Genomic DNA, 17,346 nt, shown 5'->3' with positions numbered 1-17,346 from the left:
CCTGTACACATTTCTCGCTTGTGCCACTTCCCTGGGGATGCAGTTGTTTCTTTACATGTCTGCCTCCCACTCTAGGGTGTGCTTCCCTTGAATGCAGAATCCACGTTTTATTTATCTTTGTATCCCCAGTGCCTGGGGCATCCTTGGATCTCAATAAATGTAGCCTTTGAATAGCAGCTGGTTAGAATTCAGATTATTTCAGGTCAACATTTATTGAACATCTTCTATTTAATAAATGCTCAGGTCAAGTCGGTGACACAAAAATGAGTGGATATAATTCCATTGACCACAAGGAAGTGTGAAACCATTTAAATAATGAAGAACAATCTTTTGTGGTTAGAAGGTTTTTACATTTTTTTATCTCACCTACTACCCTTTATGTGAAATTACATTTAACTTATATTTAGGAAGCAAATTTTTAAATTATTCACTTGTAATGCTTATTATATATAATTACATTTCTATAATTCTAAAATGTTAATAATAGCTAACTCTTGCCTAGGACCATCCTAAGTGCTTTACATACAATACCATATATCATTTACACACAATACTTTACATATACTATACATATCATTTATATGCAATATGTTACGTACACTGCTATATGTGTCATTTATTCTCCACACCAATAATAAATTGTTGCTTATTTTATAAGTGAAGAAACAGAACCAAGAGGAAAATAAATAATTTGTACAGGTAATAACACAGCTAAGAGATAACAGAGCCAAACTTTGAACCCACTCATTTTCTCACCCAATGTTTAGCGTAATATTTTCAGCAAATCTACAATTTAAACCTCTTCCTCTATCAGTGCTTCCTCTTGGTTGGTAAAAATTAAAAAACAAAACAAAACAGAAATCAATGCTTATTTTTGGTTGGTGAAAGCTAAAAACAAAATAAACCCCTCTTCTATACAAGTTTAGTATTGTCTAGTGAATATGTTTAAATTCAGAAAAATCCACTTGTTCAGAATAGTTAAAATAATAAGGCAAGAAATTATGACACAGTCTGATATCATACAAGAATTGTGGTAACAAGGTAGTTGCTGATGGTTGTCAAATTTGAACAGTAGCTTCCTGTTGAAAAAGAGAAGTCCCTTGACAATAAGATTCAAAGCTGGGATGAACCTCTGCCGCCATCCGAGGCTGAGAGCCTTGTCTATCCAAACATAAAATGACCCAACAATGACTGTGGGTCCCATGAACTCACCGTCTATTTGTTCTGAGAAAACTGGGTCAATGTTTACTGGTCTGAAGAAAGAAATGAAAATAGTCAAAATCACAAGGATTAGGATGGTAAACAAGTACAAATTGGGTCAATGTTTACTGGTCTGAAGAAAAAATGAAAATAGTCAAAAATCACAAGGATTAGGATGGTAAACTACCTCCAGTGCGGGTAGCAAAATATATATCATGCTTGCGTTCTGTGTAAGCTCCCAGTCTTCTCTCCGGTGTGGAGATCTACTTATTGGTAATGCATTTATTATTTTTATTTTTCCTACTTTCCATAAGTAATTGAGACAAATTACCTTACAAACCCATATATGTAAACACTATTCTTTAACATTTAAAAGAGAATAATAACCCAGGAGAGAGGGAGAGATTTATATCAGCAACCAATGAGAAGATAGGGTAATGCAATTGAGAGTTTTGTTGACCATTGAACTTCTTGGTAGCCAAGGCTAAAAGAGAAACATTATAATTATATGGTTTGCATTATCTGATAAATAATGCAATTTATTCTTTGGAACACATAAATTTTTTCCCAACATAAAATTTCAAGAGAAACTTCCCTCAGGGCTATTTAAATAATGGGCAATATTAAATTAACAAATAAACAGAAGTTTTATTAAAAATGCAGAAATTTATACTCTTTGTTACCTTCTGAATGATTATCTTTTTATGCCACATATTTACTTGCATTTATATAGCATTAGACATTTTGCTCTATAAATAGTCCCATATAATAATTACATAATGTCAAATAATTAGAGAAGCTGTTTTTACCTAAAAATTATATGAACAGAACCTAAGCCAGATCTGCATTTTTTTTAAGAGACTGGATTTTGCTCTGTCACCCAGGCTGGAGAGCAATGGCACGATCACAGCTTACTGCAGCCTCGACATTCCAAGTTCAAGTGATCCTCCCACCTCAGCCTCCCGAGTAGCTGGGACCACAGGCATGCACCACCATGCCTCATTTTTTTATTTTTGCAGAGATGGGGTCTCACTATGTTTCTCATGCTGTTACTGAACTACTGGGCTCAAGCAATCCTCCTGCCTCAGCCTCCCAAAGTGCTGGGATTACAGACATGAGCTACTGTGCCCAGCCCCAGATCTGCATTTCTGTTCCAACACTTAATATAAATAAAAATTGCTGAACACACTTAAATACATAGCCCACAGACCCTATAAAGCAACCACACAAAACAACCAGCTAACAACTTTGTAATAAGATCAAAACCTCACATATCGATATTAACTTTGAATGTAAATGGTCTAAACAATCCACTTAAAAGGCAGAGTGGCAAGTTAGATTTAAAAAATAAGACCCATTCATCTGCTGTCTTCAAGAGACCCACCTCACAAGTAATTACACCCATAGGATCAGGGTAAAGATTTGGAGGAAAGTCTATCTTGCAAATGGAAAACGAAAAGAACAAGTGTCCTTATTATTGTATCAGTTAAAGCAGACTTTAAACCAGCAATAGTAAAAAAGGACAAAGAAAGGCATTACATAATAATAAAGGATTATATTTAACAAGAAGACTTAACTATCCAAATATATGCGCACCCAACATTGGCATACTTGGGTTCATAAAATAAGTACTTCTAAACCTACAAAAAGATTTTGACAGCCACACAATAATAATGGGTGACTTCAACACCCCACTGAAAATGTTAGAAAAATTATCAAGGCAGAAAACTAACAAAGAAATTCTGAAATTAAATTTGACACTTGACCAATTGGACCTAATAGACATCTACAGAATACTCCACCTATCAAACACAAAATATACATTCTTCTCATCTGCACCCAGAATATATTCCAAGATCGACCACATGCTCAGCCATAAAGCAGGTCTCAATAAACTCAGAAAAAAAAATGAAGTCATACCAAACATATTCTCAGGCCACAGTGGAATAAAAATAGAAATGAACACCAAGAAGATCTCTTAAAAACACACAGTTACATGGAAATTAAACAACTTGCTCCTGAATGACTTTTGGATAAACAGCAAAATTAAGGCAGAAATAAAAAATTATATGAAATAAATGAAACCAGAGAAACAACATACCAAAATCTCTGGAATGCAACAAAAGCAGTGTTAAGAGGAAAGCTTATAGCACTAAACATCTACTTCAAAAAGTTAAATAGATCCCAGAATAATGTTCTGACATCACACCTAAAGGAACTAGAGAAATAAGAACATACCCCAAACCTAGCAGAAGAAAAGAAATAACCAAAATCAGAGCAGAGCTGAATGAAATCAAGTCCCCCAAATCCATAAATAGAGTCAAAGAAACAAATGTTGGCTCTTTGAAAGCATAAATAAAATCAATAGACTGCAAAAAGGGATACAAATAGGAAAACAAGAAATCAAACTATCTCTCTTCACTGATTACATGATTCTACACCTAAAGAACCCTAAAGACTCTGCCGAAAGGCTCCTGGAACTGATAAATAACTTCAGTAAAGTGTCAGGATACAAAATTAATGTACAAAAATCAGTAGCATTTCCACACACCACTAACTTTTAAGCTGACAGCCAAATCAAGAATACAATCCAATGTATAATAGCCACAAAAATAAATTAAATACCTAGGAATGCATCTATCCAAGGAGGTGAAAGATCTTTACAAGGAGAATTTTAAAAGACTGCTGAAACAAATCATAGATGACAAAAACAAATGGAAAAACGTTCCATGCTCGTGGATTGGAAGAATCAATATTGTTAAGGTGGTCATACTGCCCAAAGCAATCTACAGATTCAATGCTATTCCTATCAAAGTACCAATGTCATTTTTCACAGAATTAAAAAACGCTATTCTAAAATTTATATGGAACCAAAAAAGAGCCTGAATAGCCAAGGCAATCCTCAGGAAAAAAAAAAAAGCCAGAGGCATTACATTACCCAACTTCAAACTATACTAAGGCTACAGAAACCAAAATAGCATGGTACTGGTACAAAAACAGACATATAGACCAATGGAACAGAAAAGAGAACCCAGAAATAAAGCTGTGCACCTACAGCCATCTGATCTTCAACAAAGTCAACAAAAATAAGCAATAGGGAAATGACTCTATTTAATAAATGGTGCTGGAATAGCTGGTTAGCCTTACGCAGAAGAATGAAACTTGACCCCTGCCTTTCACCATATAAAAAAATTAACTCAAGATGGATTAAATATTTAAATGTAAGACGTCAAAATATAAGAATCCCAGAAGAAAACCTAAGAAACACCATTCCAGACATTGGCCTTGGGAAAGAATTTATGACTAAATCCCCAAAAGCAATTGCAAAAACAACAAAAAAAATTGACAAATGGAACCTAATTAAACTAAAGAGCTTCTGCACAGCAAAAGAAACTATCATATGAGTAAACAGACAGCCTATAGAATGAAAAAATATCTGCAAACTATGCATCTGACAAAGGTTTAATATCCCAAGTCTATAAGGAACTTGAACAATTCAATAAGCAGAAAACAACCCCATTAAAAAGCAGGCAAAAGACATGAACAGACACTGCTCAAAAGAAGACATCCAAGCAGCCAACAAACATATGAAAAAAATGTTCAACGTCATTGATCACTAGAGAAAGGCAAATCAAATGAGATACCATCTCACTCCAATCAGAATGGCTATCGTTAAAAAGTCACAAAACAACAGATGCTGGCAAGGCTATGGAGAAAAGGGAACATTTATACACTGTTGGTGGCAATGTAAATTAATTAAGCCCCTGTGGAAAACAGTTTGGAGATTTCTCAAAGAACTAAAAACAGAACTACCATTTGACCTAGCAATACCATTACTGGGTATATATCCAAAAGACAATAAATTGTTCTACCAAAAAGTCACATGCACTCGTACGTTCACTGCAGAACTAGTCACAATAGCAAAGACATGGATTCAACCTAGATGCCCACCAACAGTGGACTGGACAAAGAAAATGTCATACATATACACCATGGAATTCTTCGCAGCCATAAAATAGAATGAAATCATGTCCTTTGCAGCAACATGAATGCAGCTGGAGGCCATTATCCTAAGCAAATTAATACAGGAACAGAATACCAAATATCACATGCTCTCACTTGTAAGTGAGAGCTAAACATTGACTCATGGACATAAAGATGGCAACAATAAATACTGGGGACTAATAGAATAGGGAGGGATGGATGGGAGACAAGGGTTGAAAAAGCAAATATTGGGCCCTGTGCTTACTACCTGGGTGATGGAATTAATCACACGCCAAACCTCAGCATCACACAACATACCCACACAACAAATATGCACATGGACCCCCTGAATCTAAAATGAAAGTTGAAATTATTATTTTTTTATATGGAGTTTCGCTCTTGTTGCCCAGGCTGCAGCACAATGGCAAAATCTCAGCTCACTGCAACCTCCGCCTCCCAGGTTCAAGCGATTCTCTGGCCTCAGCCTCCTGAGTAGCTAGGGTTACAGGCATGCGCCACCACGCCTGGCTACTTTGTGTGCGTGTATGTATTTTTAGTAGAGACATGATTTCACCATGTTAGCCAGGCTGGTCTCGAACTCCTGACCTCAGGTGATCCACCCACCTTGGCCTCCCAAAGTGTTGGGATTACAAGGCACAAGCCACTGCGCCTGGCCCAAAATTATTTTTTTTAAAGTATGAAGGGCACAATTTCAAGACAAAGGACACTCTTCTAACTAGAACATATTAGCTTTTTTAAAAAAAACCTGGCTGCATATCTTTATTTTTTCCCTTTTGCCCTAAACAGATGACAGCATTGTTCATGGACTGGCACCAGCACTTGAGAAACACTACCACGGGATATATACAGAAGTACAAAGACACAGTTCTGGCTTCAAATGACCCTACAATCAGCTGGGGGATATAAAATCTAAACATTGAAAACATAATAATTAAGTGATAATCCAACATTAGGAAAAACATTATAAAGTATAAAATCATTTATTATAGAAGGGAGAGATCCCCAGGAACTTGGGAGCTTAGTGGAAGCTTAGTGATCTGAGCTGTGTTTGAAGAATGGAGAGATATCAGAAATTTTAGAGGGGGACTGTCAGATAGAAGGACTGTGTAGAATAGATAAAAGCACAATATATACAATACAGCTATTGGTTCAGTAGCATAAAGCACTCAAAATTTCTAAGTTGTAGTTTCATATTTCAGTTTAGTGGAACCATTGTGTTCATTGGTGGGAACATCCCCCCCTTGGAGACTAAGGTCTCTAAACCAGTATAGCTCAAAGTTGCCAGGATAAGAAGCAGAATTTCTGTGAGTGAGATATTACTTGGAATTGTGAGAGTAGCCATTCCTACTTTCATCCCTTGATTTCTGGACCCATGTATTCTGGCCATGGGGACAGCAACATATAATAACCTCTGATTCAAAGCATAAATCGTTTCCTGTATAATAGAGCCCATTCTTTTCAAGTGTTGTCTCCTAACTACATCATAACTGAGTCTTCAGTAAGCCATTCTACCTTTCAGTTAAGCTAGCTGCTTCTGGATCATGGAGTATGTAGTAAGACCAGTTCATTCAACAGTTATGATCCCAGTGCTGCATTTCTTTTGTAGACAATTAGTTTATTGATCAGACTCAATACTGTACAGAAATCCATGATGATGGATAGGGCATTCTGAGGGTCCTTGGATGCGGTGCTGACAGAAGCATTATGAGCAGGAAATGTAAATTCTTATTTAGAATATGTATGCTTCCTAGGAAGATGAATCTCTGCCACTTCCATAATAGAAGATGTCTAATGTAATCAATCTGTCACCAGGTGACTGGTCAGTTCCCACAGGGAATGGTGGCATATCCAGGATTCCATCTTGGTATCTGCTGTTGGCAGATTGGATACTCAACAGTAATATTAGACAGATAATTCTTCATAAGGAGAAGTTCATGCTGTTAAGCCCATGCTTAGCCTCCATCCCTGCCACCATAGACACTTTATTCATGGGCCCAATAAGCACTAGGGTGGCTGGTGTTACTGATATCCACAGAATGAATAATTATGCCCCCCTGATTATTAAGAGTCTCCTCTGCAATGGATGCCTGTTGATGAGCATTGATATTGGGTACAAATATCTGCAGTCTGTGTCCATTCAGAGAGATCCAGCCATATACCTCTTCCCCAGACTTCCTTGTTACCAATATTCCAATCCTATTCAGTGTCCTCACTTGACAAAGCTTCAGTGTGACCTGGCAAGGAAAAACTATTTAAAGGGCACAGATCCAATTTCAAAGAACAGGCCAAAAAGGTGAATTAAGAGCTGAGAGGTAATAAATTGATAACTGGCATGTCATCCTACCTAGCACATTATGCCCTCCCCTAACCCATCATCTACCAATCCCTTTGAGGGGCACTTCACCTATGCACATTGAAAAGACCAGGTATGTGTCTGCCTGAAGGGTTTCACCTTGCTCTTCTTTTACCAAGGATGCTTCTTTCCCAGATATCCAGATGACTTGCCCCTCATCTCCTTCAGGTCTTTGCCCAAATGCCATCCCCTTAGTGATGGCATCCCTGGACACCTCACACTCCCTATTCCCCTTCTCTGCCTTATTTTACTCCATAACACTTATTGACATATAATGTTATATCTGTCTTACTTATTTTTAGTCTCTTCTCCAGAAAACAATCTCCACAAAAACAGAGATGCTTTTTTGTTCATTTTTGCATCCTCAGCATTTAAAATAATGCCTGGCTCAGAGTAAGCTCTTAATAAATACGTGTTTATTGAGTGGTTATAGAAAACTTAGATGTTCTTTGTGTTCATTTAAGCCAATGGTGATTGAAAAGTCTATGGTTCATAAAAAAAAACTATAAACCATCCAGCTGTTCATCAACAGGAAGATTGATATATATTCCCTTATGTACAATGGAAAATTACTCATCAATAAAAAGGAATTAACTCCTGATACACACAGCAACATGGATAATTCTTTAAAAAAATGTTGAGCAAAAGAAGCCAGTTTAAAGGTAAATGCTGTATGACTCCCTTTCTATAAAGTTCTGTAACTGGTAAAACTAACGTTAAGATGATAAAAATCAGAGAGAGGGGAAGGGAGCTCAAGGGTACCTTCTAGGGTGATAGAAATGTTGTATGCTTGATTGGGGTGGAGGTCACACAGAAATATGCGCTTGTCAAAACTCATTGAATGACACACTTAAAATAAATACATTTCATCCTATGTAAATTTTACCTCAATGAAAAACTGGATACCAATTTAAATGCAAAATAAATATAAAGTTACAAAACAATCTGTAATCCCAATTTGATGAATATCTGTTCATTAAACCAGAAGAAAAATTCAAGGTCATTCCCCAGAAATCAAGTCATAAAAGAGATTAGCTAAGGGCCCAGGAAAAGCTCCTGTATAGCTGAATAGGGAAATTGGGAAGTATTAAGTCTCTCCTCAAACATTTCGAATTAAGAGGCCTGTAGTTCCTCTTTCCATTTTTAGTGTGGGTTTTCTAATCCTGTTATTTCTCATTATGACTACTGCTGTTCAAGCCTGGGTACTGGTTTAATTCTAGAAAGAGTCGCAGTTATAAGGATCGTAAATTGTTGAAAGAGGCTACCTAGGGAAATAGTAGTGTTTACCTCCATTACTTTTAAAGAAAGTCTATGTACAGGAATACTGTTAAAAATGAGTTATGAATGACTACAATTAACCATCTATGCAGAGTCTTTGAGTCACAAATTCAATTCTCCTTTAAGTTCCCATGATTTTGTTATGTTTTGAGTTCTATTTTGCCATTCTGAAAATGATACACAGTCATGCATCACTTAATGATGGGTATACATTCTTAGAAATGCATCCTTAGGTGATTTCATCATTGTTCAAACAACACAGAGTGTACTCACATAAACCTGGATGATATAGCTTACCACAAACCTAAGGTATATGGTATAGCCTATTGCTTCTGGGTTACAAACCTGTACAGTATATGCTACTGTAATTAATACTGTAGGCAGTTAACACAATGGCTATGACATCACTAGGTGAATTTTTCAGCTCCATTATAATCTTATGGGACTACTCTCATTTATGTGGTCTGTCATTGACCTAAAAATTATTATGCAGCTCATTACTACTATAATTTCTTGAAATTATTGCTACAGTTCAGCTGTGTTTTGGAGCCTGAAGGGAACACTTTCATTAACTGTAAAAAGTCCCTAAATTTCATGATCTTCCTCCGTCACTTTCAAACGAATTCAGATTTTGACCTTTACTTCAAACGATTGTAATTATTGTTCCTCTGTTTTTAGAATATATTTGCTACATGAATTATATTATCAATCCACTACACAAAAGAATGTGTCAGGTGGTTCTATATAGAGAAATACAGAAAAAAAAAGAAAAATATAATCCAGACTATAGTACCTAACAGCATTCCCTGGGTACAGCAAGAATGGAAGAAGCACTTTGCCATTACACCTAATAGAAATCATCCCTATCTCTGAGCATGTTGCTGAAACAGAAATAGCAACAAGGAAATGGACACACTGACTTCCACAATGGTTAAACTAGTTTACAGTCACACCAACAGTGTAAAATTGTTCCTATTTCTCCACATCCTCTCCAGCACCTGTTGTTTCCTGACTTTTTAATGATCGCCATTCTAACTGGTGTGAGATGGTACCTCATTGTGGTTTTCATTTGCATTTCTCTGATGGCCAGTGATGATGAGCATTTTTTCATGTGTTTTTTGGCTGCATAAATGTCTTCTTTTGAGAAGTGTCTGTTCATATACTTCGCCCCCTTTTTGATGGTGTTGTTTGTTTTTTTCTTGTAAATTTGTTTGAGTTCATTCTAGATTCTGGATATTATCCCTTTGTCAGATGAGCAGATTGCAAAAATTTTCTCCCATTCTGTAGGTTGCCTGTTCACTCTGATGGTAGTTTCTTTGGCTGTGCAGAAGCTCTTTAGTTTAATTAGATCTCATTTGTCAATTTCGGCTTTTGTTGCCATTGCTTTTGGTGTTTTAGACATGAAGTCCTTGCCCATGCCTATGTCCTGAAGGGTAATGCCTAGGTTTTCTTCTAGGGTTTTTTTTTTTTTTTTAAATTAGGAAAACAATTTTATTTACAATGGCATTAAAAAGAATACAATGCTTAGAAATTAACTTCACCAAAGAGGTGAAAGACTTGTACACTGAAAATAACAAAACACTTTTTTTTTTCTTTTTTTTTTGAGACCAGAGTCTCCCTCTATTGCCTAGGCTGGAGTGCAGTGGCACCGTCTCGACTCACTGCAACTTCCGCCTCCCAAGTTCAAGCAATTCTCTTGCTTCAGCCTCCCAAGTAGCTGGGATTACAGGCGTGTGCTACCACACCCTGCTAATCTGTGTGTGTGTGTGTGTGTGTGTGTGTGTGTGGTTTTAGGTCTAACATTTAAGTCTTTAATCCATCTTGAATTAATTTTTGTATAAGGTGTAAGGAAGGGATCCAGTTTCAGCTTTCTCCATATGGCTAGCCAGTTTTCCCAGCACCATTTATTAAATAGGGAATCCTTTCCCCATTTCTTGTTTTTGTCAGGTTTGTCAAAGATCAGATAGTTGTAGATATGTGGCATTATTTCTGAGGGCTCTGTTCTGTTCCATTGGTCTATACCTCTGTTTTGGTACCAGTTCCATGCTGTTTTGGTTACTGCAGCCTTGTAGTATAGTTTAAAGTCAGGTAGCGTGATGCCTCCAGCTTTGTTCTTTAGGCTTCGGATTGACTTGGCAATGCGGGCTCTTTTTTGGTTCCATATGAACTTTAAAGTAGTTTTTTCCAATTCTGTGAAGAAAGGCATTGGTAGCTTGATGGGGATGGCATTGAATCTATAAATTACCTTGGGCAGTATGGCCATTTTCACGATATTGATTCTTCCTACCCATGAGCATGGAATGTTCTTCCATTTGTTTGTAACCTCTTTTATTTCATTGAGCAGTGGTTTGTAGTTCTCCTTGAAGAGGTCCTTCACGTCCCTTGTAAGTTGGATTCCTAGGTATTTTATTCTCTTTGAAGCAATTGTGAATGGGAGTTCACTCATGATTTGGCTCTCTGTTTGTCTGTTATTGGTATATAAGAATGCTTGTGATTTTTGCACATTGATTTTGTATCCTGAGACTTTGCTGAAGTTGCTTATCAGCTTAAGGAGATTTTTGGCTGAGACGATGGGGTTTTCTAGATATACAATTATGTCATCTGCAAACAGGGACAATTTGACTTCCTTTTTTCCTAATTGAATACCCTTTATTTCCTTCTCCTGCCTGATTGCCCTGGCCAGAACTTCCAACACTGTGTTGAATAGGAGTGGTGAGGGAAGGCATCCCTGTCTTGTGCCAGTTTTCTTTTTTTTTTTTTTTTTTTTTTTTTTTTTTTTTTTTTGAGACGGAGTCTCGCTCTGTCGCCCAGGCCGGACTGCGGACTGCAGTGGCGCAATCTCGGCTCACTGCAAGCTCCACTTCCCGGGTTCACGCCATTCTCCTGCCTCAGCCTCCCGAGTAGCTGGGACTACAGGCGCCCGCCACCGCACCCGGCTAATTTTTTGTATTTTTAGTAGAGACGGGGTTTCACCTTGTTAGCCAGGATGGTCTCGATCTCCTGACCTCATGATCCACCCGCCTCGGCCTCCCAAAGTGCTGGGATTACAGGCGTGAGCCACCGCACCCGGCCCTTGTGCCAGTTTTCAAAGGGAACGCTTCCAGTTTATGTCCATTCAGTATGATATTGGCTGTGGGTTTGTCATAGATAGCTCTTATTATTTTGAGATACGTCCCATCAATACCTAATTTTTTGAGAGTTTTTAGCATGAAGGGTTGTTGAATTTTGTCAAGGCCTTTTCTGCATCTATTGAGATAATCGTGTGGTTTTTGTCTTTGGTTCTGTTTATATGCTGAATTACATTTATTGATTTTCATATGTTGAACCAGGCTTGCATCCCATGGATGAAGCCCACTTGATCATGGTGGATAAGCTTTTTGATGTGTTGCTGGATTCTGTTTGCCAGTATTTTATTGAGGATTTTTGCATCAATGTTCATCAAGGATTTTGGTCTAAAATTCTCTTTTTTGGTTGTGTCTCTGCCAGGCTTTGGTATCAGGATGATGCTGGCCTCATAAAATGAGTTAGGGAGGATTCCCTCTTTTTCTGTTGATTGGAATAGTTTCAGAAGGAATGGTACCAGTTCCTCCTTGTACCTCTGGTAGAATTCGGCTGTGAATCCATCTGGTCCTGGACTTTTTTTGGTTGGTAAGCTATTCATTATTGCCTCAATTTCAGAGCCTGTTATTGGTCTATTCAGAGATTCAACTTCTTCCTGGCTTAGTCTTGGGAGGGTGTATGTGTTGAGGAATTTATCCATTTCTTCTAGATTTTCTAGTTCATTTGCGTAGAGGTGTTTGTAGTATTCTCTGATGGTCTTTTGTATTTCTGTGGGATCGGTGGTGGTATCCCCTTTGTCATTTTTTATTGCGTCTGTTTAATTCTTCTCTCTTTTCTTCTTTATTAGTCTTGCTAGTGGTCTATCAATTTTGTTGATCTATTCAAAAAACCAGCTCCTGGATTCATTGATTTTTTGAAGGGTTTTTTATATCTCTTATTTCCTTCAGTTCTGCTCTGATCTTAGTTATTTCTTGCCTTCTGCTAGCTTTTAAATGTGTTTGCTCTTGCTTCTCTAGTTCTTTTAATTGTGATGTTAGGGTGTCAATTTTAGATCTTTCCTGCTTTCTCTTGTGGGCATTTAGTGCTATAAATTTCCCTCTACACACTGCTTTGAATGTGTCCCAGAGATTCTGGTATGTTGTGTCTTTGTTCTCGCTGGTTTCAAAGAACTTCTTTATTTCTGCCTTCATTTCGTTATGTACCCAGTAGTCATTCAGGAGCAGGTTGTTCAGTTTCCATGTAGTTGAGTGTTTTTGAATGAGTTTCTTAATCCTGAGTTCTAGTTTGATTGCACTGTTGTCTAAGAGACAGTTTGTTGTAATTTCTGTTCTTTCACATTTGCTGAGGAGTGCTTTACTTCCAACTATGTGGTCAATTTTGGAGTAGGTGTAGTGTGGTGCTGAAAAGAATGTATATTCTGTTGATTTGGGGTAGAGAGTTCTGTAGATGTCTATTAGGTCTGCTTGTTGCAGAGCTGAGTTGAATCATTGGATATCCTTGTTAACTTTCTGTCTCGTTGATCTGTCTAATGTTGACAGTGGGGTATTAAAGTCTCCCATTATTATTGTATGGGAGTCTAAGTCTCTTTGTAGGTCAGTAAGGACTTGCTTTATGAATCTGGGTGCTCCTGTATTGGATGCATATATATTTAGGATAGTTAGGTCTTCTTGTTGAATTGATCCCTTTACCATTATGTAATGGCCTTCTTTGTCTCTTTTGATCTTCGTTGGTTTAAAGTCTGTTTTATCCAAGACTAGGATGGGAACCCCTGCCTTTTTTTGTTTTCCATTTGCTTGGTAGATATTCCTCCATCCCTTTATTTTGAGCCTATGTGTGTCTCTGCATGTGTGATGGATTTCCTGAATACAGCACACTGATGTGTCTTGACTCTTTATCCAATTTGCCAGTCTCTTCCTTTTAATTGGAGCATTTAGCCCATTTACATTTAAGGTTAGTATTGTTATGTGTGAATTTGATCCTGTCATTATGATGTTAGCTGGTTATTTTGCTCATTAGGTGATGCAGTTTCTTCCTAGCCTTGATGGTCTTTACAATTTGGCATGTTTTTGCAGTGGCTGGTACTGGTTGTTCCTTTCCATGTTTAGTGCTTCCTTCAGGAGCTCTTTTAGGGCAGGCCTGGTGGTGACAAAATCTCTCAGCATTTGCTTGTCTGTAAAGTATTTTATTTCTCCTTCACTTATGAAGTTTAGTTTGGCTGGATATGAAATTCTGGGTTGAAAATTCTTTTCTTTAAGAATGTTGAATATTGGTCTCCACTCTCTTCTGGCTTGTAGGGTTTCTGCCGAGAGATCCGCTGTTAGTCTGATGGGCTTCCGTTTGTGGGTAACCCGACCTTTCTCTCTGGCTGCCCTTAACATTTTTTCCTTCATTTCAACTTTGGTGAATCTGACGATTATGTGTCTTGGAGTTGCTCTTCTCGAGGAGTATCTTTGTGGCGTTCTCTGTATTTCCTGAATGTGAATGTTGGCCTGCCTTGCTAGATTGGGGAAGTTCTCCTGGATAATATCCTGCAGAATGTTTTCCAGCTTGGTTCCATTCTCCCCATCACTTTCAGGTACACCAATCAGACATAGATTTGGTCTTTTCACATAGTCCCATATTTCTTGGAGGCTTTGTTCATTTCTTTTTATTCTTTTTTCTCTAAACTTCTCTTCACACTTCATTTCATTCATTTCATCTTCCATCGCTGATACCCTGTCTTCCAGTTGATCGCATCGGTTACTGAGGCTTGTGCATTCGTCATGTAGTTCTCATGCCATGGTTTTCAGCTCCATCAGGTCCTTTAAGGACTTCTCTGCATTGGTTATTCTAGTTATCCATTCGTCTAATTTTTTTTCAAAGTTTTTAACTTCTTTGCCATTGGTTCGAACTTCCTCCTTTAGCTCAGAGTAGTTTGATCTTCTGAAGCCTTCTTCTCTCAGCTTGTCAAAGTCATTCTCCATCCAGCTTTGTTCCATTGCACTGAGGAGCTGCGTTCCTTTGGAGGAGGAGAGGCGCTCTGATTTTTAGAGTTTCCAGTTTTTCTGCTCTGTTTTTTCCCTATCTTTGTGGTTTTATCTACCTTTGGTCTTTGATGATGGTGACGTACAGATGGGTTTTTGGGGTGGAGGTCCTTTCTGTTTGTTAGTTTTCCTTCTAATAGTCAGGACCCTCAGCTGCAGGTCTGTTGGAGTTTACTGGCAGTCCACTCCAGACCCTGTTTGCCTGGGTATCAGCAGTGGTGGCTGCAGAACAGCGGATATTGGTGAACCGCAAATGCTGCTGCCTGATTGTTCCTCTGGAAGTTTTGTCTCAGAGGAGTACCCGGACATGTGAGGTGTCAGTCCGCCCCTAGTTGGGGGTGCCCCCCAGTTAGGCTACTCGGGGGTCAGGGACCAACTTGAGGAGGCAGTCTGCCTATTCTCAGATCTCAAGCTGCGTGCTGGGAGAACCACTACTCTCTTCAAAGCTGTCACACAGGGACATTTAAGTCTGCAGAGGTTATTGCTGTCTTTTGTTTGTCTGTGCTGTGCCCCCAGAGGTGGAGCCTACAGAGGCAGACAGGCCTCCTTGAGCTGTGGTGGGCTCCACCCAGTTCAAGCTTCCCTGCTGCTTTGTTTACCTCCTCAAGCCTGCGCAATGGCGGGCGCCCCTCCCCCAGCCTCGCTGCCACCTTGCAGTTTGATCTCAGACTGCTGTGCTAGCAATGAGCGAGGTTCCATGGGCATAGGACCCTCCGAGCCAGGTGCAGGATATAATCTCCTGGTGTGCCGTTTGTTAAGCCTGTTGGAAAAGCGCAGTATTAGGGTGGGAGTGACCCAATTTTCCAAGTGCCGTCTGTCACCCCTTTCTTTTACTAGGAAAGGGAATTCCCTGACCCCTTGCACGTCACGTGTGAGGTAATGCCTCACCCTGCTTTGGCTCACACACAGTGCACTGCACCCACTGTCCTGCACCCAGTGTCTGGCACTCCCCAGTGAGATGAACCCGGTACCTCAGTTGGAAATGCAGAAATCACCCATTTTCTGCATCGCTCATGCTGGGAGCTGTAGACTGGAGCTGTTCCTATTCGGCCATCTTGGCTCCCAATATCGTTTCCTAACTTTTTAATGATCGCCATTCTAACTGGTGTGAGATGGTATCTCATTGTGGTTTTGATTTGCATTTTTCTGATGGCCAGTGATGATGAGCATTTTTTCATGTGTCTTTTGGCTGCATAAATGTCTTCTTTTGAGAAGTGTCTGTTCATATCCTTTGCTCACTTTTTGAGGGGGTTGTTTGTTTTTTTCTTGTAAATTTGTTTGAGTTCATTGTAGATTCTGGATATTAGCCCTTTGTCAGATGAGTAGATTGCAAAAATTTTCTCCCATTCTGTAGGTTGCCTGTTCACTCTGATGGTAGTTTCTTTTCTGTGCAGAAGCTGTTTAGTTTAATTAGATCCCATTTGTCAGTTTTGGCTTTGGTTGCCATTGCTTTTGGTGTTTTAGACATGAAGTCCTTGCCCATGCCTATGACCTGAATGGTATTGCCTAGGTTTTCTTCTAGGGTTTTTATGGTTTTAGGTGTAACATTTAAGTCTTTAATCCATCTTGAATTAATTTTTGTATAAGGTGTAAGGAAGGGATCCAGTTTCAGCTTTCTACATATGGCTAGCCAGTTTTCCCAGCACTATTTATTAAATAGGGAATCGTTTCCCCATTTCTTGTTTTCGTCCCTGACCTTACTTTTGAAATTTCTAGTCTACACAACATGACTTGGTTGATCATTTTGACAGAATCCGTTACTAATCACTTGTTTAAATGACTCATATCTGGCTTACAACATGTTTAATTAAGTAGGTTTGTATATAGAACTATAACATTCACTGATACAACTTGAAGTAGTTAGTCATTTAAAATCAGCCAAATTACTTTGAAGACATATATTATGGGTTTCTTTAACTTCTAAATGGTACTGGTGTTTGGGTTACAGTTGGAATGCTCTGCTCACCAGACCAAAATCTGGGATTTCTTCTCTTTCTGAGGCAATTAGATTCTGCCTATTCTGAAACTGGCCTCTCTGACCATGCCTTGGCATTTCATGGCTCTGGAAATGCCTGGGTGAGAGAGTACAGACAGGCAAAGATGTGATCTAAATCTATTGCACTACTACAGACTTCACAACAAACAACAAAACAAACAGACAAAAAACAATGTCCAACTAATGCTGGATCAGCAATGCTATCTTTTTCATTATGCTAGAGTATTTTTAATTTGATATGTATCATGAGCAAAATGTTTACTTCTAGAGTTACTAACATTTTTATTGAATACATTCTTCTATTCTAAGTTTAGCAAGGAAATGCAATTATGATTTGAATGGCATATCTTGGCTCTAAATGGTTTCTTTATTTGGAAAGCAATAACATTGTTTCAGAAGGAAAATAAATATTTGGCATGGTGAAGGCTTGA

General features: G+C 38.4%; 1 protein-coding gene across 1 annotated transcript in view; it reads left to right on the top strand.

Annotated features, from left to right (window-relative positions):
• Window positions 1–17,346, top strand: part of SLC24A2 (solute carrier family 24 member 2) — an 800,438-nt gene that overhangs the window by 458,814 nt on the left and 324,278 nt on the right. The window lies entirely within an intron of this gene.

The sequence above is a fragment of the Homo sapiens genome, chromosome 9 (assembly GCF_000001405.40).
Source record: "Homo sapiens chromosome 9, GRCh38.p14 Primary Assembly".
Taxonomy (NCBI): domain Eukaryota; kingdom Metazoa; phylum Chordata; class Mammalia; order Primates; family Hominidae; genus Homo; species Homo sapiens.
Note: the sequence above shows the minus strand (reverse complement) of the source record. Positions and strands in the feature narration are given on the sequence as shown.